This window comes from Homo sapiens, chromosome 11 (genome assembly GCF_000001405.40).
Source record: "Homo sapiens chromosome 11, GRCh38.p14 Primary Assembly".
NCBI lineage: Eukaryota > Metazoa > Chordata > Mammalia > Primates > Hominidae > Homo > Homo sapiens.
In genome coordinates this window covers 10,278,514-10,304,904 of record NC_000011.10, presented here as the reverse complement: position 1 = coordinate 10,304,904, position 26,391 = coordinate 10,278,514, and the positions used below count along the sequence as shown (strand labels likewise).

The 26,391-nt window shown below is 44.6% G+C and overlaps 1 protein-coding gene across 11 annotated transcripts in view, besides 11 other annotated features; it reads left to right on the top strand.

Annotated features, from left to right (window-relative positions):
- Positions 41-90: a silencer, noted in NCBI's record as "silent region_3145". NCBI's record gives its function as "represses an Ori minimal core promoter by ATAC-STARR-seq in GM12878 lymphoblastoid cells {active_cell/tissue: GM12878}" and the evidence as "EXISTENCE:reporter gene assay evidence [ECO:0000049][PMID:35858748]".
- Positions 64-26,391, top strand: part of SBF2 (SET binding factor 2) — a 526,174-nt gene continuing 499,846 nt past the window's right edge. For 8 of the 11 annotated variants that reach the window (NM_001386342.1, NM_030962.4, NM_001386339.1 and 5 more), the window contains exon 1: positions 10,686-10,890. In NM_001386342.1, coding sequence (NP_001373271.1) covers positions 10,836-10,890 — 55 coding nt within the window. In that variant the 5' untranslated portion in view covers positions 10,686-10,835. Of the gene's footprint in view, positions 406-1,067; positions 1,610-4,406; positions 4,500-10,685; positions 10,891-26,391 lie in introns of those variants that run through there. The other 3 variants (NM_001425069.1, NM_001425070.1, NM_001424318.1) reach the window with 2 other exon arrangements.
- Positions 271-370: a silencer, noted in NCBI's record as "silent region_3144". NCBI's record gives its function as "represses an Ori minimal core promoter by ATAC-STARR-seq in GM12878 lymphoblastoid cells {active_cell/tissue: GM12878}" and the evidence as "EXISTENCE:reporter gene assay evidence [ECO:0000049][PMID:35858748]".
- Positions 861-920: a silencer, noted in NCBI's record as "silent region_3143". NCBI's record gives its function as "represses an Ori minimal core promoter by ATAC-STARR-seq in GM12878 lymphoblastoid cells {active_cell/tissue: GM12878}" and the evidence as "EXISTENCE:reporter gene assay evidence [ECO:0000049][PMID:35858748]".
- Positions 1,845-2,024: an enhancer, noted in NCBI's record as "active region_4430". NCBI's record gives its function as "activates an Ori minimal core promoter by ATAC-STARR-seq in GM12878 lymphoblastoid cells {active_cell/tissue: GM12878}" and the evidence as "EXISTENCE:reporter gene assay evidence [ECO:0000049][PMID:35858748]".
- Positions 2,045-2,124: an enhancer, noted in NCBI's record as "active region_4429". NCBI's record gives its function as "activates an Ori minimal core promoter by ATAC-STARR-seq in GM12878 lymphoblastoid cells {active_cell/tissue: GM12878}" and the evidence as "EXISTENCE:reporter gene assay evidence [ECO:0000049][PMID:35858748]".
- Positions 6,031-6,110: an enhancer, noted in NCBI's record as "active region_4428". NCBI's record gives its function as "activates an Ori minimal core promoter by ATAC-STARR-seq in GM12878 lymphoblastoid cells {active_cell/tissue: GM12878}" and the evidence as "EXISTENCE:reporter gene assay evidence [ECO:0000049][PMID:35858748]".
- Positions 6,191-6,240: an enhancer, noted in NCBI's record as "active region_4427". NCBI's record gives its function as "activates an Ori minimal core promoter by ATAC-STARR-seq in GM12878 lymphoblastoid cells {active_cell/tissue: GM12878}" and the evidence as "EXISTENCE:reporter gene assay evidence [ECO:0000049][PMID:35858748]".
- Positions 10,549-10,598: a silencer, noted in NCBI's record as "silent region_3142". NCBI's record gives its function as "represses an Ori minimal core promoter by ATAC-STARR-seq in GM12878 lymphoblastoid cells {active_cell/tissue: GM12878}" and the evidence as "EXISTENCE:reporter gene assay evidence [ECO:0000049][PMID:35858748]".
- Positions 10,719-10,998: a silencer, noted in NCBI's record as "silent region_3141". NCBI's record gives its function as "represses an Ori minimal core promoter by ATAC-STARR-seq in GM12878 lymphoblastoid cells {active_cell/tissue: GM12878}" and the evidence as "EXISTENCE:reporter gene assay evidence [ECO:0000049][PMID:35858748]".
- Positions 11,029-11,108: a silencer, noted in NCBI's record as "silent region_3140". NCBI's record gives its function as "represses an Ori minimal core promoter by ATAC-STARR-seq in GM12878 lymphoblastoid cells {active_cell/tissue: GM12878}" and the evidence as "EXISTENCE:reporter gene assay evidence [ECO:0000049][PMID:35858748]".
- Positions 11,149-11,288: a silencer, noted in NCBI's record as "silent region_3139". NCBI's record gives its function as "represses an Ori minimal core promoter by ATAC-STARR-seq in GM12878 lymphoblastoid cells {active_cell/tissue: GM12878}" and the evidence as "EXISTENCE:reporter gene assay evidence [ECO:0000049][PMID:35858748]".

Here is a 26,391-nt window from a genome sequence, read left to right as displayed (position 1 = left end):
GCGGGGGAGAGGAGGTCCCTCGTGCCCAGAGGGCTTAGGTATGGGCTCCAGGCGGTTGGTGCAGGAACTGCCACAGCCCTCTTTGGGCACAGGGTTCAGACAGTACGCCGGAGCGAAGGGGCGCCACTACAACCTCTTGAGGTCCTTATCCAGGACCCATGCGGCCCGGAGTGCAAAGCCTCCTGGCGAAGAACAGCAAGAGCCCGCGGAAGGGACAGCGCGGATGGCCCGAGCCCTGGACCTGGGGAGCTGTGGCCTCAAGTGGACCGCGCCCCCCTGCCGGCTTGGCGCCTGACCGGGCCGCGACCCCAGACTCCCGCGGAGGGGCCGGGGCAGGGACGGAGCAAAGCCGAGAGGAGCAGGACTCACTAGTCCCCCAGAGGACCAAGACCCCGGCGTTTCGGGGTGAGCTAGTAAGATTTCACGGTAGGGACAAGGCTCAGAAAAGCTAAATTGAGAATTGGGATTTGGAGGGGGGAATTATCTGAAATTTCAGAATTTTCATTTCTATTTGGAAACATAGGAATAACCAAAATTAGGAGGAAATATACTGTTTCATTTTGCCTCCTTGTAATCCTATTATGCCTTATAAGGTCATAACCTGAGATTGTGCCTGGCTGCCTTCATTAATCCATCGTAAACGTGAGGACTGACTGCCAGGGAGCACACTAACGCTTCACGTATGCTAATCATTTTACAGTTTACCAAGCACGGCCACATCCCAGTCTACTTTGAGCTTCACAGCCACCCTTGAGTCAGGCAAGGAAGGTAACATTCCTTTTCCCATTTCAGCAGGTAGAAAATTCAAGCTCAGAGAGGGGAGGTATCTGCAGAGAGGGGAAGTCACCCTGCAGGTAGGAAGCAGCAGAGTCCCTACTCGGCCCGACACGCTAGCACGGCCGACTGGGGCGCGGCGTGGATTCCTCTAGGCTGGGGTCACCAACTTCTCAAGGGGCAAAGGAGAGTCCTAGCCCCCGCCCAAAGAATTTGTGCCTGTTCATGATGAATCACGCTAGACACGTTTGTCACCCGTTTGTGCTCTTTCATCACAGCTTCTTCTCTTTCTTACTTCTCTCCTGGGGGCCAAACTGGGAAGGAAAGGCTAAGCCACGGGGCTTCCTGCTTCGTGCTTGTGGGTTTCTGGGGTCCTACTAACCACTCCTCTAATCGAATGTCCTGAAGCCCAGCGACTCGACGGAGAGGCCAAAGGTGCGAGACCACTAGCCAAACAGGCTTCTAGTCCTCACCTCCCGGCAATTCGCTGTGTGAAGGTGGGCGAGTCATGTCCCATCTCTCGAGTCCCCATCTTAGAGCCGGTCCCCAGCAGACCTTTAAGCTTCCTTCCTACTCTGCCATATGGCTCTGAGCTCCGGTGCAAAGGCGGCTGGGCAGTGGGTCGCGCGGACCTTGCCCAGAGTGGTCTGTCTGGGCCGCGCACTGCTGGCTTAGCTGCCTTTTCACTCTCGGGACTCAACAGTGGACATTGCACCTGGGGAAGAAATGGCCGCGCGGAAGTTATTTAAGGACTCTTCCTGGAAGGAGTCACCTGAGCGGACCTGAATTCCATCTGAGGACGGAGGACAGATTCCGGGCCCTGACCCTGGCCCTGGTAAGGGGTTGGGACGCGGAGGGTTAGAGGAGTGCAGCGCGGCGCACTGGTCTGGATCCGGCCGCCCGGCTGGGCGCAGGGCAGTCACCGAAGTGGCCTGGCCGGGCGACTAGTCCGTCTGCACCGCAGACAGCAGCTATTACTGAACGCCTGCTCGGTGACCAGGAGCCTCCCCAGCCTAACTATTGTTCTTCTCCCTTGTCTCCCATTTCCTTTTCCTTTCACTTTATCCTCTGCGAGTCAAGCTCTTCGCGCAGATCCAGGACTGGCTATCAGTCGCTCTGAGGATGCGACCTACTTGTCGCCAGCTTCCACTTGGTTCCGCGCCAGGACAGGTTTTACTTTCATTTCTCCCGCGCGCGCCTCCGACTGCTGGGGAGGTCAAGGACAGCTAGGCGTCGGCCCACGGCCAGGGAAGGTCCCGTGGTCTGGACTCGTTCCTTCCAGTCTCCACCAGTCCTGGGGGGTGGGGCGCGGCGGGGGTGTTCGTTCTCCAGAGAACTCTGCGACTGTACCTCGCTGCCACCTCGCTGCCTCCTCGCTGCCCTTTACAAAAGCTCGTGATTCCGTGGGGGAAACTTGAGCTGTGGCTCTGCCAGGAGGATCGCGAAGCAAGTGCCCTTGGTTCAAACTCCTCTTTGAGCTGCAGGCAGCTTCAAAAAGGAAAGCAAGCCCAGGAGTGTAGGGAGACTCAGAGGCTAGGCTCTGCCAGCCTCGGGTGCCTATGCCAGCAACCTCTTGGCTGTGACAAGAATTCCCACCTGAGAGTCTTGGCATGCACTTTATCAGCCTGGTGCACTTTGCCGCTCTGGCACTTAGAGATCTGTCACTTGAGAACCAAGTCAATTCTTTAAGTAAAATCTTGGATTGGCAGCTCAAAGTATTTTCCTAGAAAGCCCCTATCTTGGAGTGAGTGAGTGTGTGCGCGAGCGCGCACCCCGCTTGCATGGGTGAGTAGCAGGGGCTAGAGTGCTCCCCAAAGCTTCGTGGGTTTAAGTCGAAAAAAGATAAGGAGTTTGTTAAATCTGGGCATCTATGTTTTTTCTCGTGAAATCTCGAGTTTGTTTAATTAATCATCGTTAACGACAAAAAAAAATCACTAGAATGCATTTCTGGTTCAGTGGTTCTATGGAGAAGGAAATGCTGCAGTGGGAGTTCTGATCCTGGCAATTTATTAACATAAGTTGCATCCATTCAAGTGGCAGTGATTGTAGATTCACGTTGAGCAAGGACAGTACAAGGAAGGAAGGAAGTGAAGGAAGAAACATCTTTAAATTTCTGGCAAGAAAAGAGAAAAGAAAAAGAAAAAAAAATCCTTGTTAATGAAGATCTACTTTTTTTGTGTGCTCCAGAATTTCAAAAGGTCAGATTACAAATAAACCTCCAAACCACTGTAATAAATGTGTACATCCTGACATTAGGGAGACACACATACACATATGCTAAAGGGTTTTTGCGTAATGGTGTTTCAACTTCTTCACATTCCAATTGAATGATTTTTAGGCCCTATATCCAAGCCTGATTCTTAGTAAAGTTTGGAGTTTAAAAAAATATGTGGTAGTGGTTTCTCAGCTAGCACTGTGGACACAGTTCTTAAAGCCAGAGTGGCCATACTCAGGTCTTTCAGAGAAGCATTGAAAAATAATAAATATCAATGATATTAATAAGAATAACTAAAATGTGAGTAGCTAAGTGCATTGCATAATTATCTCAGATGCCTCCTTTATCAAACAGGAAATTTTATGATGCATTTATTATTAATATAGTTCAAAATGTCTTTTAAGCTGAGGACTTGTTTACAAAGTTCACTTGAAAACAAAGTTCAAGATGCATCCTGAAGTCATAACACAAAGTGATTTAGAGAAAGAACACAATCAGCCTTGTGGATTTGATCACTTACAAGGAGAAGTAAAGCAGGATACAAAGCCCAGGGCACTTTTTTGGGATCTCTGACTTCTCTAAGGACCTAATAAAAATATAGATCCTTTCCAGAAAAATGAACATGTACATAAACCGATTAAAGTATAAAATAGGCATACAGTTCCGGGAGGTTGACCAAGTTTAAAACCCTGACACAGAATAAAAAACACTGTTTCCATATTTTAAATTTCTGTCTGGTTTATAGTGGTAAGGGCAAGGAGGACAGTTAACCTCCCTCTTTAGGGCATAATATTTTCCAGAGCATCAGCATAAAGAAAAGTAATGCGTTTGCTGCCTCATTTTTGTGCTCCTGTACAAAACAGGCAGAGAGTAACAGTCAGTTCTTGTACATGGTAAAGCCAGAAGGCAAACCTCCCTGAAGCTTAAATAAGGTAAATTACTGCAGAACAAATGAAAGAGAAGAGATGGTCCAGTACAGTGGCTCGTGCCTGTAATCCTAGCACTTTGGGAGGCTGAGGCAAGTGGATCTCTTGAGCTCAGGAGTTCAAGACCAGCCTGGCAACATGGCAAAAATCCATCCCTACAAAGAAAAAAAAAAAAAAAGAGAGAGAGAGAAGAGAAAGTAGTAAACCTAAAGAAGCTTGTTACAATAATACCTGTAACAGGACAAAATGAAATTACTTCAAGAGAAATTTGCTACAGAGGGCACAATAAATGGCATTAATGAATGGATGATAAAAGAGATGATTAGGCCATTTGAATCATCCATAGCCAAAGAGAATGGTGTTAATGAAAGCAACCATCATGCTACTTGTCTCCAGATAGGGATCCTGTGATATCAGATTAGAAGCACCTGGAAAGAAGCAATTATTTTATATATGTATATATATTTATATATATTTTTTTCTTTTTATAGAGATGTGGTTTCATCATGTTGCCCACGCTGGTCTTGAACTCCTGATCTCAAGAGATCCACTCGCCTTGGCCTACCAAAGTGCTAGGATTACAGGTATGAGCCACTGTGCTCAGCCAAGAAGCAATTCTGATTTATAAGCCTGAATGAATTGATAGTTTTTTCATTCTTTCAACAAATATTTACTGATTATATATTATATACCCAGCACTGTGCTAAGTTCTCAACATACAGTAATCACCAATGCAGTCATCAACAAACTTACCCTCAACGAGCTTACAGCCTAGTGACGTAGCCAGATATAAACAAATCCTTATCAGAATTATGTATTTACATGATTATAAACTGTGTTAAGTATTCTGAAGAAAAAGCAAGACTAGGGGGATCTAATATTCGAAATGGAGGAAACAGCATGTGCAAACACTCAGAGATGGGAAAGAACTTGGTACATTAGAAAAAATGAAAGGAGTCCTGTTTGATAGGAATGCATAGAATGATAGAGAAAAGAGGCCTGAAATGAGATTAAAGAGGTCATCAGGGTCAGAGTAAATAGGACCCTTTCCGACATGAAGATTTTGCACTTTATTTATGGTGACATGGAAAACTATTGACAGGTTTGAAGACAGGAGAGACATGATCTGATATACATTTATTTAAACAATCGTTTTGGCTATGGAATGTGGTAGATAGATTAGAAAGGTGCAAGAAAGGAAGCAGCACGGTGGTGGTACTCTGGAGAGACTGCAGAGAGTCTAGTCCCCCCATAACATTTATTATACCCCCTCCCCACATACACATACTCATTCCATCCTAAAGTTCACCAGCTTCACTGACATACACTCTGTTCAGTAGCACACGGCCTGCTCTCAGAAGAGCCCACACTTGGTGGAATGCTCTGCTGAAGCTGTTTTGAAATTCTCCAACATTTCTGAACAGGCAGTCCTACATTTTCATTTTGCACTGGACTCCACATATTATGTAGCCAGTCCTGCTCATCAAACATGTGATCTAAGTAAAAGTAGCTTGTAAACTCTTACAGTACCTATATATACTGTAGCTGCTAATGTCAGGGGTACTTCAAATGAATGTTAAGATTCAACCATTCATCTCATCACACATGGACCGCAACTGCAGGACACTTCCTTTTTTTTTTTTTTTTTTTTTGAGATGGACTCTTGCTCTGTTGCCCAGGCTGGAGTGCAGTGGTGCCATCTCGACCCACTGCAAGCTCTGCCTCCTGGGTTCACGCCATTCTTTTGCCTCAGCCTCCTGAGTAGCTGGGACTACAGGTGCCCGCCACCACTCCTGGCTAATTTTTTGTATTTTTAGTAGAGACAGGGTTTCACCGTGTTAGCCAGGATGATCTCGATCTGCTGACCTCATGATCCGCCCAACTTGGCCTCCCAAAGTGCTGCGATTACAGGCGTGAGCCACCACACCTGGCCAGGACACTTTCTACGTCATCTATGAAGCCTTTTCTTTGCACCCCAAACACACACTCAAGGTAGAAATGGTGTGTTTGCTATACAAATTTAATTTTGAGACAGGTTCAATAACCTGCTTACTGTCCTTAACTTTTACCTATATAGAAAGTTTGAAACCATCGGTGAAGCTGGGAAAACAGTTAAGAACCTATTGCAATAATAAAGGTAGAAGGTGATAACGGCTCAAACTAGTGGGGTGGCAGTGAGGGTGGAGAGAAGCGGACATATTTGGGAAGTAGGAACAATAGGACTGAGTGATGAATGTGGGGCTGAGAGGCAGCTGTCAAGGGTAAGATTCATTAAATTTCTTGCTTAGGGAACTAAATGGTTGAAAATATAGCAATGGATCAGGGAATTTTCCACCACAGCTGCATAGTCTCCTTTGTTATGCTTTGGTAGAGACGATCTGAAGAGGCCTCAGCCCTGCCTGGTGATGTTTGCTCAAGTCTGACTCTCATACTGCCTCCTTGAACTACTGTGGCTAACCACAGCAAGCACTTGAAATGACTGTACAGATCAAACCACTTACTCCGCAATAGCCCACTAGGGGCAATGGGCTGATAAGCCTTGCTCACTGATAATTAGCTCTATTTTGTCTTTTTTAAAATTTTTTATTTTAATTTTTTGAACGGGAGTTTCACTCTTGTTGCCCAGGCTGGAGTGCAATGGCGCGATCTTGGCTCACTGCAACCTCTGCCTCCTGGGTTCAAGCAATTCTCTTGCCTCAGCCTCCCAAGTAGCTGGGATTACAGGCACCTGCCACCATGCCCAGCTAATTTTTGTGTTTTTAGTAGAGACAGGGTTTCACCATGTTGGTCAGGCTGGTCTTGAACTCCTGACCTTAGGTGATCCACCTGCCTCGGCCTCCCAAAGTGCTGGGATTACAGGTGTGAGCCACCGCATTCCATCTATTTCGTCTTCTAAAGCAAAAAAGAAAGGTATCTGCCACATACACATCATGATAGTGTTACATACCCTTCTTCCCTTCCTGCTCCCATCAGCCTTCAGGAAAACAAATCTGGGCTTGCTTTACTCTCTCTCTCTTTGGTGAAAGGTGATGGTGGTTATTGTAGGGGATGGTCTGGCTTTCAGCCAACCTCAGTAATCAGGCTGCCTTGTCAGGGCTTATCAGTTTCAACAGGCTGGCAGCTGTTGGCTGAGAAGCAAAGCACAGCTTTAGTGTATACAAAATATGTTCACATGTATATACAAACACACAGTGCCTTTCTACATGTACCTAGGATATGTTAAAATCTCTGTGTGACAAAATGGGCATTTGCAAATGGACTGGAAGTCTACTTATGACAGTAACAGATGAAATATGCCTAAAAGCAGAATAGCATTTGATTCTAGGCTTAAAAACAATAAACTTTGATTTTAAAAAATTAAAATAATTTAAATGAGTACTTGCAAATGAAATAAAAGCCAAGACATTTAAAAGGTAAAACAAGACCCCTTACCACTACAAAATTAACTCAAAATGGGTCAAAGTACTAAAGAGCTAAAACTATGAAGGAAACCAGTAAATCTTCATCTCACCTTTAATATGGCAATAATTTTTTAGATATAACACTAAAAGCATAGAAACAAACTAAAAAAGTGGACTTTATCAAAATTAAAAACTTTTTTGAGCCAAAGGACATTATCAAGAAAATGAAGTCTGGGTGTGGAAGCTCATGCCTCTAATCCTAGTACCTTGGGAGGGCTAGGTGGGAGGATTGCCTGAGGACAGGAGGTTAAGACCAGCCTGGGCAACATCATGATACAACATCTCTACATAAAAATAAAATGAAAAATAAAATAAAAATAGGAAATATTTGGGGGGGGGAATAGGGCATAACAATTTTAAAAAGAAAATGAAAAGACAACGTACAGAATGGGAAAATATCTGCAAATCATATATCTGACAAGGACTAGTATCCAGAATATATAAAGAACTCTTACAACTCAACCTCAAAAAGACAAAGAATCAATTAAAAAATGGGCAAAGGACTTGAATAGACATTTCTCCAAAGAAGATTTAGCAATGGCCAATAAACACATGAAAAGATCCTCAACATCATTAGTCTTTAGGGAAAGGCAAAACAGGACCACAATGAGATATCACTTCACACTAAGATAGCTATAACAAAACATAAACAACAGGAAAACAAGAGTTGACAAAGATGCAGAGAAATCAGAACCCTAGTGCATTGCTGGTGAAAATGTAAAATGATGCAGCCACTGTGGAAAACAGTAGTAACAGAACTACTTAATCCAGTAATTCCAATCCCAAGAATATATCCCCAAAATTGAAAACAGGTACTCAAATACATGTACATGCATGTTTGAAGCAGCACTATTCACAATGCCAAAAGGTGGAAACAACCCATATGTCCATATGGGTTGTTCCAGATAAACAAAATATGGTATATACATATGATATGGTTTGGCTGTGTCCTCACCCAAATTTCATCTTGAATTGTACCCCATAATTCCCACCTGTCATGGGAGGGATCCGGTGGAAGGTAATTGAATCATGGGGGCGGGTCTTTCTCCTGCTGTTGTGGTGATAGTGAATAAGTTTTATGAGATTTGATGGTATAAAGGAGAGTTCTGCATAAGCTCTCTTGTCTGCCGCTTTGCTCTCCTTGCCTTCCGCCATGTGGAACTGTGAGTCAATTAAACCTCTTCTCTTTATAAATTACCTAGTCTCGGGTATGTCTTTATTAGCACCGTGAGAACAGTCTAACACAATATACAATGGAATATTATTGAGTCATAAAAAATAATGAAGTATTGATACTTCAATGTGATGCTACAACCTTGTACTGTATCTGCCCGTAAACAAGCTGAGAACAATATACTAAGTGAGAAAAACCAAGACACAAAAAACCCACATATTGTATGATATGAATATGAAATATTCATAATAGGTAAATCCATAGAGACAGAAAGCAAAATGGTGATTGCCAGGGGCTGTGGGAGGGGAGAATGAGAATGACTGCTTAATGGTTGTGAGGTTTTCTTTTGGGTGATGAAAATGTTTTGTAACTAGATAGACATGGTAGTTGTACAGCATTGGGAATGTACTTAATTGCCACTGAATTCTACATTTTCAAGTGGCTAATTTTACAATATGTGAATTTTGCCCTATTTTTAGAAAAGTTGGGAAGGAATATGATAGCTGCCTTAAAAATCTATCATATGAAGATAGATTTTTTTTTTCTGGATAGTTCCGGAGAGCAGAATCAGGGGAAGTTACAGTAAGACAACTCTGAAATAATAAGGAAGAACTTTCTAACAATAGGGCTGTTAAACAGTGGAATGCGCTGCCTCCCAAGGAAGTAAGATTACTTTTTACTGAAAGTGATCAAGTTGGATGATGAGCTCTCAGGGAAGTTACAGAGAGGATTGCTGCACGGGGTATGACTGAGGTTTTTTTTTTTTTGGTTTAATTATTTTCAGGATCAAACTATCTTCCCTCCACGTTTGCAAATTCAGCTGATTCAGTTTTACCATTAGCAACTGACATAGAGGTCCTGGAGTTAAAGTATTCCTTCAGTTTCAGTTCTAGTGCAGCCCAACCCTCCCAATTTGTAGATGAAACAAGTGTGGCAGAGAAAGGGGAAATAGTAAATTACAGCAGAGTAAATCTTCAGGAGCTGAGATGTCAACTCTCTCAGTTCAGAGTTGGAGCCATTGCGGCTTCCTGCTGGTCGTTGGGGAAAATCGCACATTTACTCATTTAAAATATTTTGTAGGCACCTACTATATACTAGACGCTTTGCTAAGAGGCCTTGTCTTATGTGTAAATATGAAGGATCAAACCCTCAATTAATAGTGAGCAGTGATAAGCAACCACAAAGACAACTTCTAAACCACGGAGATTTCCAAAACTTTGGTCTACCACTTGTACAAATTCTACTAAAACTTCGTGAGATATTAACAAATGACAAAGTGAGTTCACCTGAATGTCACACCAGCCAAATTCGAAATGGTCAATAGGAGGTTCAACAAAAAAGCAAGCGACTTTGATAATCCCGAGACGGAAGGACGGGACCATCTATTCATTTTTGTGCATGTTTGAGCAGGGAAGTTGGAAGTCCACCTGCTCGGGCTGCGAGAGCCCTGGGACCGCTGCGAGGGAAGCAAGCCGAGGCGTGCGGGGCTCCCCAGGGAGAGGCCAGCCCAGTTCGGGAGGATCCCGGGGATGCCGCGTTCCTCGGTGGAATCTGGCTCTCCCGGGCGCTCCGGGGGAAGCCCAGGCCGACCGCCCCCGGCCCACCCGGCATTGAAACCCGAGGCTCCTTGGAGGATTGCGTAAAAGCCTCTCCCTCCCCCGTCTGCTCGGTGGCATGTTTCTAAAATTCCCATCTACACAACATAAACAGGAAACGTGCAGCAAAAGCCCTGTCGATGCAAATTCCTTGCTTCCAACCGAGGGCGGGAGAATTTCATCTTTGGTGGTGGTGGGGAGCAGAGGAAGCAGCCAGCTTTCCAAGTGACCCCTCAACTCTCCACATCCCTTCTTCCAAATCCAAACAGAATAGAGAAGGCGGAAGGAAGGACCCCCTGCTTTAGGAAAAATAGGGAGGCAGAGGGGGCCGTGAAGCAGCATCCAGGCCTCAAAGTGAACCACCTCCAGGGGCCGCGGTGGCGGCGCGTGGCGGGAACACGCCCGACCGCCCACTCCCCCAGCGCAGCAGTCCGCGAGGCCCGCGGAGGGTGGAGGTGGGCTCGCCGCCCGGGCTTGGGGCAGCCGAGCCAGCGCGGGTGGGGGCGGGGGAGGAGCGGGCACTAGGCGCCGCGCAAGCGCAGAGCGCGCCTCGGTTGTCAAACATGGCTGAAGCGCTGCCGCTGCCGCTACTGCCGCTGCAGGGAAAATGCTGAGCCCTCCCGGGCCGGGTGGGCGGCGGCGGCGAGGGCGGCGACGGGGACCCGCTTCCCGAGCGCGGCGGCGGCGGCCATGGCCCGGCTGGCTGACTACTTCATCGTGGTAGGCTATGACCACGAGAAGCCAGGTAAGGGTGTGGGGCGGCACCGCCCCCGGGCCTCCCCGCCCCCCGGCCGCTGTCCAGTGGGCTCCGCGGGGCCGGGCGTCGGGGACGGGCGTCGGGGAGGGCCAGGCCGAGTCTCGGAGGAGCGGGCGGTCGGCGTCCGGCCTTCTCGGCTGGGCTGAGCCTGGCGGTGGGCGTGGGGGGGCCGGCACGACGGTAGGGGGAGGGAAGACGCCGCGTCTGCCCAGCCCCTGGGCGCACCCGCTGGGCGGGCCGGAGGCGAGTTGGGGTCTCGCGACCCTCCCGCTGGAGGCTGCAGGGTACCCGGGGCAGAGAGAGCCCTGAGATTGGGCCCAGGACCGCAAGGCTGGGAGGGCGGGAGCCAACTGTGCTAAGTTCCTCGGGGATAAACTTCTGCCCTGCATCCTGAGTGAGTAACCAGTGACGCAGGGGGTTGTCCTCTCCGAAAGGAAGTGCTGAGAGTCCAGTGCTAACTCACCCCTGTGCTGTTGGGGGCCTAGTGACCTCCCCAAGGAACGCGTGGTACCAGGGAAGGGGACAGGATTCTTTGCACTTTTACCCCTTTCTAGGAAATGCTCCCTATTCTTTCAGGACAAATGTGACGGTCACTTCACAGTGACATGACTTGTCTTTTAACTAAGGACAGCCAGCTGACCGCTGAAGGTGATCTTGTTTCACTTTAATGTGTTTTCATTGTTCTTTTTATTTGTCACAGAATTTTCGTCGTAAGGAACAATTGGGCAAATGCATTGTATTTTACACTTTAATTGACGGACTTCCACAACTTAAGAGAATTCAGGGTTCATGCACGTTTATTTCTGTATTTGTATTCTCTTGTATTACTATGTAGCTAAGCATAATGTAATAACAAATTGAGCTGGGAAACCACTTCTATTTTAGGGCAATTCTAGTCCCACATTTGCAAGGAATTTGAGATATCAGCTCTACAGCCCCTTCATTTTTCAGAGATGCTGAGATTGTGTTTTCCTGATGGTTACAGCCATTGGTAGCTCAGAATACCATTGTTCTACCCACTCTTGGTCCACTCTCTCTTTCATTATTCCTCTCCTAAGAACTTCCTCTCCTTTAGTGGGAACCTTTCATGTTCTTTTCTCTTTCACCAGTCATGACCTGATTGAGGTCAATTGTTAAAGAGAAAGTTTAAATGTTTAAACTTCTGGATCCAAAATTTTATTTCCTAGTAATTTGGCATAGTCTGATGTTTCTTTTCTATCAAGATTAAGTGTGGGAAATCAGTTTTTTAACCTTTAGTTTTTAGTGACATTGTTCCGCCTCCCCCCCTCCCCACTTTTAAACAATTTTTTTTTTTTTTTTTTTTGAGACGGAGTTTTGCTCTGTTGCCCACGCTGGAGTGCAGTGGTGCGATCTTGGCTCACTGCAACCTCTGTCTCCCGGGTTGAAGCAATTCTCTGCCTCAGCCTCCGGAGTAGCTGGGATTTACAGGCGCCCGCCAACACGCCCGCTAATTTTTGTATTTGTAGTAGAGACGGGATTTCACCATCCTGGCCAGGCTGGTCTTGAACTCCTGATCTCGTGATCCACCGGCCTCGGCCTCCCAAAGTGCTGGGATTACAGGCTTGAGCCACCACGCCCGGCCAACAATGTTGAAACAATAACAGACTTGCAAAAAAGTTGCAAGAATGGTACAAAAAATTCTACCCGCCCCCCAACAATTTGAGAGGAAGCTGTTGACCTGATGCCCTGTCATCCCAGAATACTTTAATGTGCATTTTCTGCAAACAAGAATGTTCTCCTACATGATCACAGTGTAATAACCAAAACAGGAAATGGATAGTGATACAGTACTCCATCTAGTTCTCAGACTGGTTCAAGTTTTGTTGATTGTGCTAGTAATCTCTTTACTGGCAAAAGGATCCAGTTTAGCAATATGTGTTGCATTCATGTTATGTCTCTTTTGTCTCCCTCAATCTGGAACATTTCCTTTATCTTCTCCTGACTTTCATGACCTTAACATATTTAACAATTACAGGTCAGTCACTTTGTAGGCTGCCCCCTCAATTTGGGATTGTCTGTTCCTTCATGATTAGATACATACGAATATGCACGTGGGAAGGATATCACAGAAGTGATGCTCACTGCATCCTGTCAGGTGGTGCACAATTTCACTTTGTTTCATTGTTGGTTATTTTTACTTTGATTACTTGATATAAGTAATATCTGCGAGGCTTCTCCACTGTAAAGTTAATACTTAATTGTTTTTGCCATGTACTTTGAAACTATGTAAATATCTTGTTCCTCACTAAACTCTTAATCATTTATTGACATCTACATGGAGTCTGTGTGTGTGTGTGTGTGTGTGTGTGTGTGTGTGTGTGTGTTTAGTGGATTATATTCTGTTACTATTTGCCTTAGTCTATTCGGAAAAAGTCACTAGCCCACCTGCCCGAAGCACTGGCTTGAGTGGGAAATAGGAGAGTCTAAGCACATCCAGCCGAAGTGAGACCAGAAAGGGGAGCTCGCGGATTATATTCTGTTACTATTTGCCTTAGTCCATTCGGGCTGTTATAACAAAAATACCTCAAACTGGGTGGCTTATAAACAATAGAAATTTATTTTTCACAGTCTGGAGGCAGAGAAATCCAAGATGAAGACTCTGACAGATTCAGTGTCTGGTGAGGACATGCTTCCTCATAGCCATGTTCTCACTTTAACCTCATATGGCTTAAGGGTCAAATGAGCTCTCTGGGGTCTCTTTAAAAAGGGAACTAATCCCATTCACAAGGACTCCACCACCATGACCTGATCACTTCCTAAAGGCCTCACCTCATAATACCATCACTTTGGGTGTTAGGATTTTAACATACGAATTTTGGGAGGGGACATACACATTCAGACTATAGCATTATTTATTTTGATGTTCAAATTGTTCTTTATATGGCCAATGAGAGTTGTACAAGCTGGCTTCTGTGTTCTTATGGTACATCCCCATCACTCTTTGAGAACAACTTTGTACTTTTTGGCACAAGAACCTGTTCCTGGCTCATCTTGTACTTTCCATGCCTTGGTTCTGTAATCAGCCATTTAGGGATCCCTGGTTCCTTTTAGTGGAGAATGACATTTAGAAGCTAAGATCTCAAGGCTAGTGTGTTTATTGCTGTTGGGCTGTTACTCCTTCCAGGTCCTGTTAATGGTCAGGGCTGGTAAGTATAGGTATGTATGCATAAACATACATATGCATTTATATCTATATTTATTTATTATCTCTGTATATTGAAAACTATGAATTCATACTGATACCTCCAATTTCAGTCAAATAGTCCAGGATCTATTCTAGTGTTCTCCTTTTTCATATTGTAACGTTCTTCTCTGACAGTGAGAAATCTGGCTTCTGTTATCCTGAATGTATTTACTTATTGTTCAGTCTCCCATCTTCACTACCATCTACTCCTCTCCCTGCTGGGACTTGGATTCTTCATTCCATCTCCTCCATCCCCCTACCCCAGTCTGGATCTAAGAGTCCATACCAGCATGCTTCCATACAGGGACACCCTCCCCAGCACTCTGGTTATGACTCCTCATGTTGGTCTCCCCACTGTCGGTGGACACACTTCGTACCCCACTCAGACTCTGACACACCCCAGTGAGTTGCTTCCATTGGAAGATATCCTTCTCACTCTGTTGTACCCCAGTGCCCTTTGCCAGTTTCCCCCTCCTGCCTTAATGCTTGGGCTCTGAAGCAAAATGTTTGCCTCTTCCCCTACCACACAGACTCCTTCCCTAGCTCTCTTGGTCTATGACAATATGACAAGCTCCACCCCAGGGATCCACCTCCACCCCAGGGGTACCATGACAACTGCTCTTCTCACAGCAGGAAAAGGGAAGGAGAAGGAAGATTAATTTTTTAAGTAATACAATCCAGAAGCTTGTATAAATTGTAGAATGTCAACAGTGAAATGTATAACTTTTTAACTTGGGATAATTCTTCTTTTGTCATGTTGATGGCAGCGAAGAGGTGCGGGCGGTGGTGTCAGGAGCGGCTATGGGAGCAGCAATGATGCTGGTGGGTCCCCTGTGCCCTGCATCCCTGAGGCAGCCGACTGTACTGCCCCCGCCCTTGTGCCTCTGGGCAGGACCTGCCCTCAGGCCCGGAGCCTCCCCAGCTCCTGACCCTGGCCCTGTGTCACCACTCTTGCCCACCAATGCTGCGGGGAGGGTGTGAGGAGGAGGCGGAGCTGGAGGTGTGATATGGGGGTCTGGGGCCGGAAGTGGGAGCAGTGCCTGCTTCAGGGACCCAGCCAGCAGCGTGGTCACCACACCCACCCTGCCGAGGGCACCGGGTTCCTGTGCCTCAGGGGTAGGCTCTGAGCAGGGCCGCCTAGGGCCGCATCCCTGGGGTCCACCCTGCATCAGGGTGATTGCCAGGCCTGACACTCCCAAGGGCTGGGCCCAGGGCCCACAGTCTGCTCCTGGAGGCACCCCCCTAGGCAGGGCCACAAGCTGGGTGAGGGGGAGCTCGTAGAGATGTTACCTCTGCCCTAGATACTGGCCTGGGCCCAGCGAGGACCTGGAGCCCCTGCTCCAGGCTACGAGGGGGCATGGCTAGGGCTGCACACTCCACGGACCTGGCTGGAGCAGGCAGCAGCCCCGCCCTCCTGGGTGTGCTGCAGCCACCCAAGTCAGAGCTGTGGACCCAGTTCTCCCTGTGTTCTAAGGGGCCACGAGCAGGAGGCCCCCCCACCCCACACAGCTGCAGCTGCCCAAGCTGGGGCTGTGGACCAAGGCCTCTTTGCACTCTCAGGGGCCAGGGAAGGCATCCCTCCTGCCCTTGTAGGCTTGGAGGCGCCTGCTCCAATCTCGGAGCGGGGTTGGGGCCAAGCCAGGGTGCTGTCACAGCGCCCCCGGGTGTGTACACACTTAGGTCAGCGCTGACACACTGGGCCCCTGCCTCCTCAGCCCCCTCTGGACTTTGGGCCCTGACAAGCACCGTGGGAGGGGTTTGAGGGAGGTTTGGTGCTGGCCTGCAGGTACCCCTTGAAGCGAGAAGCCTGGGCGTCGTGGATGGCGGAAGGGGGCAGGTCTCTGGTGAGGCCCCACCTTCAGGCCGGGGAGGGCTTGAAGACTGGGGGCCCAGCTGCCAGTCCTATGGACTAGAGCGAGGACTTGTGGTACCTTTTCTGGGCCCACCTATGGACAATTGGTGTGCACTTTGTCCCCTCTGAGGCCCATAAAAGTTGCAGGCTCAGCCCAGAGCAGAGCAGAGGATGGAGAGATGATGGGACAACCAGTTACAGAGAGGAGTTACCCTCTCTGCTGATAGATGCAGAGATGATGGGACAACCTGCCTAAAGAGAGGAGCTTCCCACTGTAGGGCCTCCTCTCTGCTGAGAGCTGAAGAGATGATGGGACAATCTGCCTGCAGAGAGGAGCCACCCATTCTAGTCTAGGACCTCTCTGCTGAGAGCTGCAGACAGCAGGACAACCAGCTGCAGAGAGGAGCTGCCCTCTCTGCTGATAGCTGAACACCTGTTGGGATGACCAGCTGCAGAGAGGAGCCACTCTCACTGCTGAGAAAATACTTGCTGGGGTGACCTGCCTGCATAAAGGAGCTACCCTCTCTGCTAGGAGCTGAACACTCATCAGGATACCCTTGCTACAGAGAAGAGCTGTCCACTGTGGGTCTTTGAGCTGTTCTATTGCTCAGTAAAGTTCCTCTTTGTCTTGCTCACCCTCCATTTGTTGTCTGAGGACCTCATTCTTCCTGGTCACAGAACAAGAACTTGGGACCCTTGAATGGTGAGGGTAAAAGAGCTCTAACACAAGCAGAGCTGAAACATGCCCCTTGCTCACCATGTTGCAGGTGAAGGAAGGGAGATAAGAGCTGTGGCCCTTCTGGGAGCCCAGACCTGGGAGCTCCCCAAGCTAGGGCTGTGACTCCTTCTTTGGGGCCCTGTGGTTCCTGGCATCTTCAAGCTTCTGAGTGCCACTACATTCCCCGGTGCCGGCCGGGGAAGCTGTTTGTGGTGCAACTGGTCCAGCCACAGCCTCGCAGAGAGCTGGCACTTATGCCAGCACCTGGAGCTGCCCACCCTGTGGCAGCAGCTGACATGTCTGACTGGGCAATGGCCAGACTGTACGCTCGCTTACACACCCCTCACCACTCCACGCCTGACTCCAGTCTTTCTTGGAGGCATGGGATCCAGGCTGGTAGCGTGAGCTGAGTGTAGCCTACAAGGCCGAGTGGGTGGGAATGAGGCTAGCAGGTCTGAGCAAAACTCAGGCAGAGGTGCCACCAGCCACAGGTTTCTGGCCAGAAAAGTGACACCCTAAAGATCCCATAACAATATCTAATAAAGTATAAATTACATGCAATAAAATTTACTCTTTTAAGTGAACATTTCAGTGAGTTTTGACAAATACATACATTAGTGTAGCCACTACTGCAATCAAGATATAGATATAGGGCTGGCCGCTGTGGCTCATATCTATAATGGCAATGCTTTGGGAGGCTGAGGCTGGAGGATTGCTTTAGACCAGGAGTTTGAGACCAGCCTGTGCCACATGGTGAGCCCCATCTTTGAAAAAAAAAAATAGCCTGGCGTGGTGACACATGTCTGTAGTTCCAGCTACTTCGGATGCTAAGATGGGAGGACTGCTTGAACCTAGGAGTTCGAAGCTGCAGTGAGTCATGATCACTCTACTGTATTCCAGCCTGAGTGACAGATTGAGACTCTGTTTCTAAAAATAGGTAGATAGATAGATAGATAGGGAACATTTTCATGCTTCCAAAAAGTTCTCTCATGCCTCTTTGTAGTCAGTTCCCTTTCTAGCATCTGGCAGTCACTGATCTGTTTTCTGTCTGTATGTTTTTGTCTTTTCTAGAATGTCATATAAATAGTATACAGTTTTTTGTGTCTAACTTTTTTCACTTAGGATCATACAGTTGAGATTTATCTATGTTGAATTTATTGGCAGTTGTTCCTTTTTATTGCTTAGTATGATACGATTTATCCATTCACCAGTTGAAGGACACTTGAATTTCTAGTTTTGGGCTATGGTGAACATAATTGTTCTGAACATTTGCATACAGATCTTTGAATGTTTTCATGTTCATGTTTTTATTTCTCTTGGGTAAATACGTAGGAGAAGAATTGCTAGGTCATAAGTGTCTTATTTGTGTGAGACTGACAAACTTTTCTAATTGGCTGTGCCATTTTACATTTTCACTAGCAATGTATGAGAGTTTCAGTTATTCTTTTTAAATTTAATTTATTACTTAAAAATATTTTTGGTTGCTCTGCCTGTGGAGTAGCCATTTTTTGTTAACTTCTCTAATAAACTTGCCTTCACTAAAAAGACAAAAAAACAAAAAACAAAAACAGGCTGGGTGCCGTGGCTCACACTTATAATCTCACCACTTTGGGAGGCCAAGGTGGGTGGATCACGAGGTCAGGAGAACGAGACCATCCTGGCCAACATGGTGAAACCCCGTCTCTCCTAAAAATACAAAAATTAGCTGAGTGTGGTGGCGTGCACCTGTAATCCCAGCTACGTGGGAGGCTGAGGCAGGAGAATGGCTTGAACTCAGGAGGCAGAGATTGCAGTGAGCCGAGATCGCAGTGAGCCGAGATCGCACAACTGCACTACAGCCTGGCGACAGAGCAAGACTGTCTCAAAAAAAAAAAAACCAAAGAACAAAAACTTCCTCTAGCTTTATTGAGATATAATTTACAAATAAAAATCATATATATTTATGGTGGACAGCGTGATGTTTTATGTATACATTGTGAAATGATTACCACAGTCAAGGTAATTAACATATCCATCACTTCACATAGTTACCGTGTGTGTGTGTGTGTGTGTGTGTGTGTGCGTGTGCGTGTTTATGTGAAGAAATTTAAAATCTCTTTTGGCTGGGCGTGGTAGCTCACGCCTGTAATCCCATCACTATGGGAGGCTGAGGTGGGTGGATTGCTTGAGTCCAGGAGTTTGAGACCAGCCTGGGCAACAGGCTTTTTTCTCCAAAAAAAAGATCTACTCTCTTAACATACCTCATTTGTGGTTTTAATTTGCGTTTTCCTGGTGACTAATAATGCTGAACACCTTTTCGGGTGCTTGTTGCCATTTGTGTATTTTTTTGTAAAGTGTCTGATCAAATTTGTGCTCTTTTTTATTGGGTTGTTTGACTTCTTACTGTTATTGGTGGAGGGTGTCCAGGTTCTTGGTGTTTTGAAGAAAGAATTGGACAAAATGCACAAACAAAGCAATGACAGAAAATTACAGATTTATTGAAATGAAAGTACACTCCACAGGGTGGGAATGGGCTTGAGCAAGCAGCTTGAGAGTGCTGGTTACAGAATTTTCTGGGGTTTAAATACCCTCTAGAGGATTCCCATTGGTTATGCAGTGTATGCCTTATGTAAATGAAGAGGATGAAGTGAAGTTACAAAGTTATTTACTTGGTGTACACCCTATGCAAATAAAGAGGATGTTTCCTGACATAGCTGAAGGGAAATTACACAATTATTTACTTGGATGTAGAAAGTTGGGGTTTTTCTGTTTGATTTAGTTCTAGGAAGTCCTTAGGTTCCCTGCCACCAGGTCCTATTCTCCTGCCTCAGTATTATTGAGATTTTTTTTTTTTCTAATTCTAGAAAGTCTGTCCCTCCCTCCCTTTTTCCTCCCCTCTCCCCTCTCTTCCTTCTCTTGCCTTCCCTTCTCTTTTTCCTTTCCTTTCGTCTCACTCTGTTGACCAGGCAGGAAGGCAGTCGCACAATCACAGTTTACTGAAGCCTTGATCTCCCAGGCTCAGTTCATCTTCCCACCTCAGCCTGCCGAGTAGCTGGGACTACAGGTGCACGCCACCATGCCTGGCTAATTTTCTTATTTTTTGTAGAGATGGGGTTTCACCATGTTACCCAGGCTGGTGTTGAACTCCTGGCCTCAAGCAGTCCTTTTGCCTGAACTTCCCAAAGCACTGGGATTACAGCCGTGAGTCACCTCACTGGCCAAATGATACACTCTTTATTTTTGTTCCTAAAGTGTCTTTTCAATTAACAATACTTGCAGTTGAATTTTTAAATATTTATATTTTATAATTGGATTAAAAAAAAAAAACTCTTGTCAGCTGGGTGCAGTTGGCTCACACCTGTAATTGGGAGGCTGAGGTGGGTTATCACTTGTGCCCAGGAATTTGAGACCAGTCTAGGCAACATAGTGAGACCTTGTCTCTACTAAAAATTAAAAAAACATAAAAATGAATTAGCCAGGTGTGATGATGCATGCCTGTAGTCCCAGCTGCTTGGGAGGTTGAGGTGGGAGCATTACTTGAGCCCAGGAGGTCGAGGCTGCAGTGAGCTGTGTTTTTGCCATTGTACTCCAGCCTGGGTAACGGAACAAACTCCAGCCTGGGTAATGGAACAAGATCCCGTCTCAAAAACAAAAGCAAAAACCCCTTGTCTTTTGAAAAATTTCTTTTACAAACTGGAAAAAAGAGTTAATGCATGCTATTTGAATTATATAGAAAGAAGGGTGCCTGGTACATCATAGGTAGTTAAGGAAGATACATGGAATGAACACACAGTTGTTGAAAATATGGGGGAAAAAGCTATAAAAAAGGAGGGTGGGAGGTGGATGTGGTTATAAAAGGGTAATTGGGAGGAATTTTTGTGGTGATAAAATTGTTTTATATTTTGACTGGGTGGTGGATACATATATCTTCATGTGTGATAAAATTGCATAGAACTAAATACACACATACAACCACAAATGAGTATAGGTAAAACTGAGGAAATGTGAATGAGATTGGTGGATTGTATGATATCCTGGTGGTGATTTTGTAATTTAATTTTGCAAGACGTCACCAGTGGAGGGAACTGGGTAAAGGGTATATGGTTTCTGTATTAATTCTTACAATTGTGTGTAAATCTGCAACTATCTCAAAATTAAAAGTTTAATTTAAAAAGCTATAAGGAAGATAGAAAGATACCCTTACTATCTTTTTAAAAGCTATTAATGACATAAGTTATTTTATAAAATTTTAGAAAAACATAATGTCCAGTGGCTGTATTATTATATCATTTGAGTGTTTCATTTTAACTTAGTCACTTTACTATTGGACCTTGTTTCCAGTTTTGTGTTCTTATAGTGCTGTTATGCTGAGGAGAACATAGCTTGAAAACCACTGATTTTTATGATAGTTTGATTTTGATAATTTGAAATTAAGACTTTATTTTTCTGACTTTGCCTGTGAACTATGGCAGAATAATTAAGAAATATCATTAGCTTCTAATATGTGAAGTTATTTAGCCAACTATATTTTTCTTATTGTTTTTACTTTCTTTTACTGAGATTTGTCCAGAAAAATTGATAATGACTACCTGTGTTAATTTTATATGCCTTTACTTTTTTTTATTTCTTCTGTCCATTAATACATTTATAATTCATGTATCTTGGTGGTATTTCATCTGGAGTCAATTATGTTAATTATTTGAAGTTCTTGTTTTTTTTCATATCAGTCTGTTTAAGTATGTTAGAGAACATTCGACATGTTTCTTAGGCATTTAATCAGTTTTATTTAAGCACTATGAGAGAGACAAGCTAGAATGTAAATTTATGTATAACACCTGAAATACCACATTTTGAGACATTGTAAAAATTGATAATTGATTATTGTTAAACCATTGTAATACATAGCCTGAGTTTTCTCCCCTGAAGTAGTTGGTATTTTCTAGTTGCTGTTTGTTGCCACCTGTCAAGAACCATTTGGGATTCACTGATTTGACAGTTATTTATTGCTTTCCAGGCATTGTGCTAAGTGCTAGGCTAGATACAAATGAGTAAAGATTAAAACTCTATCCCTAACCTAGTCATTAGTGGATAAGGTCTTGAAATAAGTAATGATAAATTGCTTATTTCAAGAGGATGGATCCATTTTACTGAGGGAAAAAGAGAAGACTTCTTATGAGAGGTGATATTTAAACCAATTTGTATGGTATGCATAAACATTTGCTATGTGAAAAAGAGGATAGAGGAGATTATAGGCATAGAGGAAAAATGTGTGTATGTGAATGTCTTGTTACAGGAATGGAGAGAAGTGAAAGTAGATGGAAACTGAGGTAGGCTTTGATGCTTGAGTGGGTTGACAATTGTGAAAAGCTCTGTATATCAGGCTATAGAATTTAGCCTTGACTCTATAGATGGTGAGCCTTGACTCTATAGATGGTGGGGTCTGTTGAAAAATGGTAGCTCTTAAAAAGCAAGAAACAACATAGAAATGTGACTCAAATGGCAATGAACTGAAGGGAGAAAGACCAGTATGAGAAAGCTCAAACGTTTTTATGGTGGAAATGGCAAGGAAGGTATGGATGCTAGAGAAATTTGAAAGTTCAGATTAGTAAAATTTAGTAATGAATGAATGTGAGGGGTAAAGTAGAAAGAGTGGATGAGAGGTAATATGTGTCATGATGCTATGGATACAAATAGGGAATTCAGGAGAAGAAATGAATTTGGATGAGGGAAGGAAATGCTGAGTGAAAGGTGATGGTCTATAATCAAGGTAGAGATGTCATTTAGGTGTTTAGACATGTGAGTCAGGAGGTAAGGAGAAAAGTGAGATTTAACTTGGCAATTGTCAGTAGCCAGCTGATTGTCAAATATGAAGAAAAATGTGAGATTGCCTAGGAAATGTGCAAGAGTGAAAAAAAGAGTGGCCTCAGAATTGTACTCAGAGAAAAATCAATATTCAAAAGGTAGATAAAGCAGTGGCAGCCTGGAAACTAAATAGGAGTAGTCAGAGGTATTGCAAAAGAACCAAGATAGCATGATATGGTATCATGGAAAACCCTGGGTATATAGAATTTCAAGGAGGAGGAAATAACAAATGTCAAATGTGCTGAAAATGTCATGTATAATAAGGACTAAAAATAGGCTTATGGATTTAATAATTAGGATAACTTTCGAACATTATAGTAGAGTTGTGGGGGCCATAGTCATTTTGATGAATACATGCCCCAAGTCATATGCTGTATAAACCTCATGTAGTCTAGTTTGTTTCATTTCTTTTTAGAAGTTCAATATGACCTGCAACTCATGGCTTGTTGAAAATGGAAAGAGGAGTCAGAGGCAACTTCAAAATTGCAGACCTGGAGGTCTGGGGGTACTTGTGATGTTATGACTTAAATTGGAAGATTGAGAATGTTTTTCTTTTAAAGTTACTCATTTGTGTTTGTGGGATTGACATAGAATGGTGTTTATTTTGCAGCTATCCAAGTGGAGACTTCAAAAGATGGGACAGGTAGGGACTGGGTACAAAGACTTGAGAGTCATTAGAGTATATAGAGTTGTGAAATTGTGTAGGTGTTCCCAAGAAGTTGGCATAGAGACAGAAGAATAAAGTACCGAGAACCAAGCTTTGGGGAACACTATTGGTAAGAGGATGTAAAAGAAAAGGAACCACAGAAGGGTTTGGAGAGTTTGGAAGAGACATTTGGTTCTCCTCCATGGCGATTCTTCTCCTTGATGGTTTTGAATAATCATGTGGACATGCATAAGAGAGACTGTTTCAAGTTTCTGACAGCTATAAACATGTGAATAAGTTCTGGTCAGTTGGATGTAAGTGGAAATGATGAATGCAGTATCCTATAAGTGTTCTTAAAGGATGAGGGTATGCCTTCCTAGCTTTTCTTTTTCCTAAGACTGGCATTCTGATATGAAGGCTGCAGCCCCAGCAGCCATCTTGGGCCAAGTAGGTAAGGCCCAAACCCTAGGTATATCAGAGCAAAAAGCTAGAAAGAACCTGAGTCCCTAATGACTTATAGTGGGATTGTCATAGCAGACCTGGATAGCTACCCTCTGGATTTATTTTATTATTTTAATATGAATTTTTAAATTATTTATTTATTTTGACATGAAAGGCTATAATCTTACATGTTTAAACCATTATAAATCTGAGTTTATTGCTTCATGTGGGTAATCTGAATCCAGATACACAGAAGAAGGCGAGATCAGAAAAGTCATAGAAAGTGAAGGAATATTTCTTAGTGTCAGGTGTGGCAGATAGCGATCAGTGAGATAAGGAGTTAATGAAAAGCTTTGCATTTCATAAAACTTTAGGGCCGAAAGTTAACTGTACACATAATCTATATCTGTCCAATTTTTGGGTAAGGAGAAACCAGTGAAGGCTGCCCGCCTCCCCCACCCCCAATCCCCAGTTGTTACCTGTGAGTAGTTACACAGCTATTGAGTGGCAAATCTTGTAATAGAAGTTTTCTCATGCCCATACTGCAGTACACCATGCTGTATCAAGGGTAGTTTTAGCCCAGATTGTTTCAGCTGGAATGTTGTATTGTAAACCATATTGCAGAATTTTAGTAGGATAAAGAATAAGAAGTAGAGGCAGCATATTAAGATGATTTGTTTCAGTAATCTGATTTTGAGAGGTAAGAGTATCTGGTTGGAAAACTTTGAATGCCTATTCTTCAGGGTAAAAAGACTATTTTTTGTATCCCAGAGTTGCCTGGCTTATTATTGCTCTCAGTAACATGTTTGTTGAATTAAATTGCAGACTTAGTAAGATCCAGTGAGAGTTTTTAAAAATGTATGGAATAGATGTGACCATTTTAAAGGTAGAAGAGTGGAAATCAATGGAATGAGAACAGTTGATGCTGGAGAAAGTGGGGATAGTATGTATAGGAATAAAGTTCCTTATGTTGTGGGGGTCTCAAGCACATGTATTTGGGATACAAATATATCAGTCCAGCTCTTAGTCATCCCTTCTAAAGAGTATGTACTTTGGAAACTAAAATTGTCATTTCGTTAATCTTGGAGATACAGGTTGAGTATCCCTAATCTGAAAATCTGAAATACTCTGAAATCTGAAACTTTTTGAGCACTGATATGACATTCAAAGGAAATGCTCATTAGAGCATTTTGGATTTCGGATTTTTGAATTAGGGATGCTCAACCAGTAAGTATAATGCAAATACTTAAAAATCCAAAAGAATCCTGAAACAATTCTGATGCCAAACATTTCAGATAAACGATACTGAAAACTGTGTTCTATAATGATGCACATTAAAACATCACTGATCGGCCAGGCGTGGTGGCTCACGCCTGTAATCCCAGCACTTTGGGAGGCCGAGGTGGGCGGATCATGAGGTCAGAAGTTCGAGACCAGCCTGACAAACATGGTGAAACCCCTGTCTCTACTAACAATACCAAAATTAGCCAGGCGTGGTGGTGCGTGCCTGTAATTCCAGCTACTCAGGAGGCTGAGGCAGTAGAATCACTTGAACCCGGGAGGTGGAGCTTGCAGTGAGCTGAGATTGTGCCATTGCACCCCAGCCTGGGTGACAGAGGGAGACTCTGTCTCAAAAACAAACACAAAAAAACATATCACTGATCAGGTGTAAGGACACTGTGGGAGGTGACAGGTCACGTAGGCATATAATAGAACTGGAAATCTACAGGTAAACTTAGCACTAACAGACAGGGAGGTATTAGGAAAAGATAGTGGTGATATGTGCCAAGAAGTTTCAGGGTAAGCTTTTAAATTTTAGGTACTAGTATCTAAATAATGAATTCCAAGAGACCTAACCTCTTGAAATAACTTTTTTTTTTTTTTTTGAGATGGAGTCTCGCTCTTGTTGCCCAGGCTGGAGTGCAATGGTGCGACCTCAGCTCACTACAACCTCCGTCTCCCGGGTTCAAGCAATTCTCCTGCCTCAGTCTCCCTAGTAGCTGGGATTACAGGCACCTGCCACCATGCCCGGCTAAGTTTTTGTATTTTTAGTAGAGATGGGGTTTCACCATGTTGGCCAGGTTGGTCTTAAACTCCTGACATCAGGTGATCCACCCACTTCAGCCTCCCAAAGTGCTGAGATTACAGGCATGAGCCACCACGCCTGGCTTTTTTTTTTTTTTTTTTTTTTTTAATACAAGACCGGGTCTTGTTCTGTTGCCCAGGCTGGAATGCCTGCAGAAGTGCGATCATAGCTCACTGCAGCCTCAAACTCATGGCCTCAGCCATTCTTTCACCTCGGCCACCCAAAGCGCTGAGATTAAGCCATTGCGCCCAGCCTTGAAATAACTTTTTGAATAGTTTTATTTCCTAATTGTAGGTTAATTTGTATATTATAGGTTGTTATGCCCAATATGATAAAGATCATTTTTATTAAAAACTGTTAGGAAAGTGAAGGCATTGATTAAATCATTGTGTTGCTGGAATTGTATTTCTTTTTTTTTTTTTTTTATTGAGATGGAGTTTCGTTCTTGTTGCCCAGGCTGGAGTGCAATGGGGCTCGGTCTCAGCTCACTGCAACCTCTGCCTCCCCGATTCAAGCTATTCTCCTGCCTCAACCTCCCAAGTAGCTGGGATTACAGGCGCCTGCCACCATGCCCGGCTAATATTTTTGTATTTTTAGTAGAGACAGGGTTTCACCATGTTGGCCGGACTGATCTCAAACTCCTGACCTCAGGTAATCCACCCGCCTTGGCCTCCCAAAGTGCTGGGATTACAGACATGAG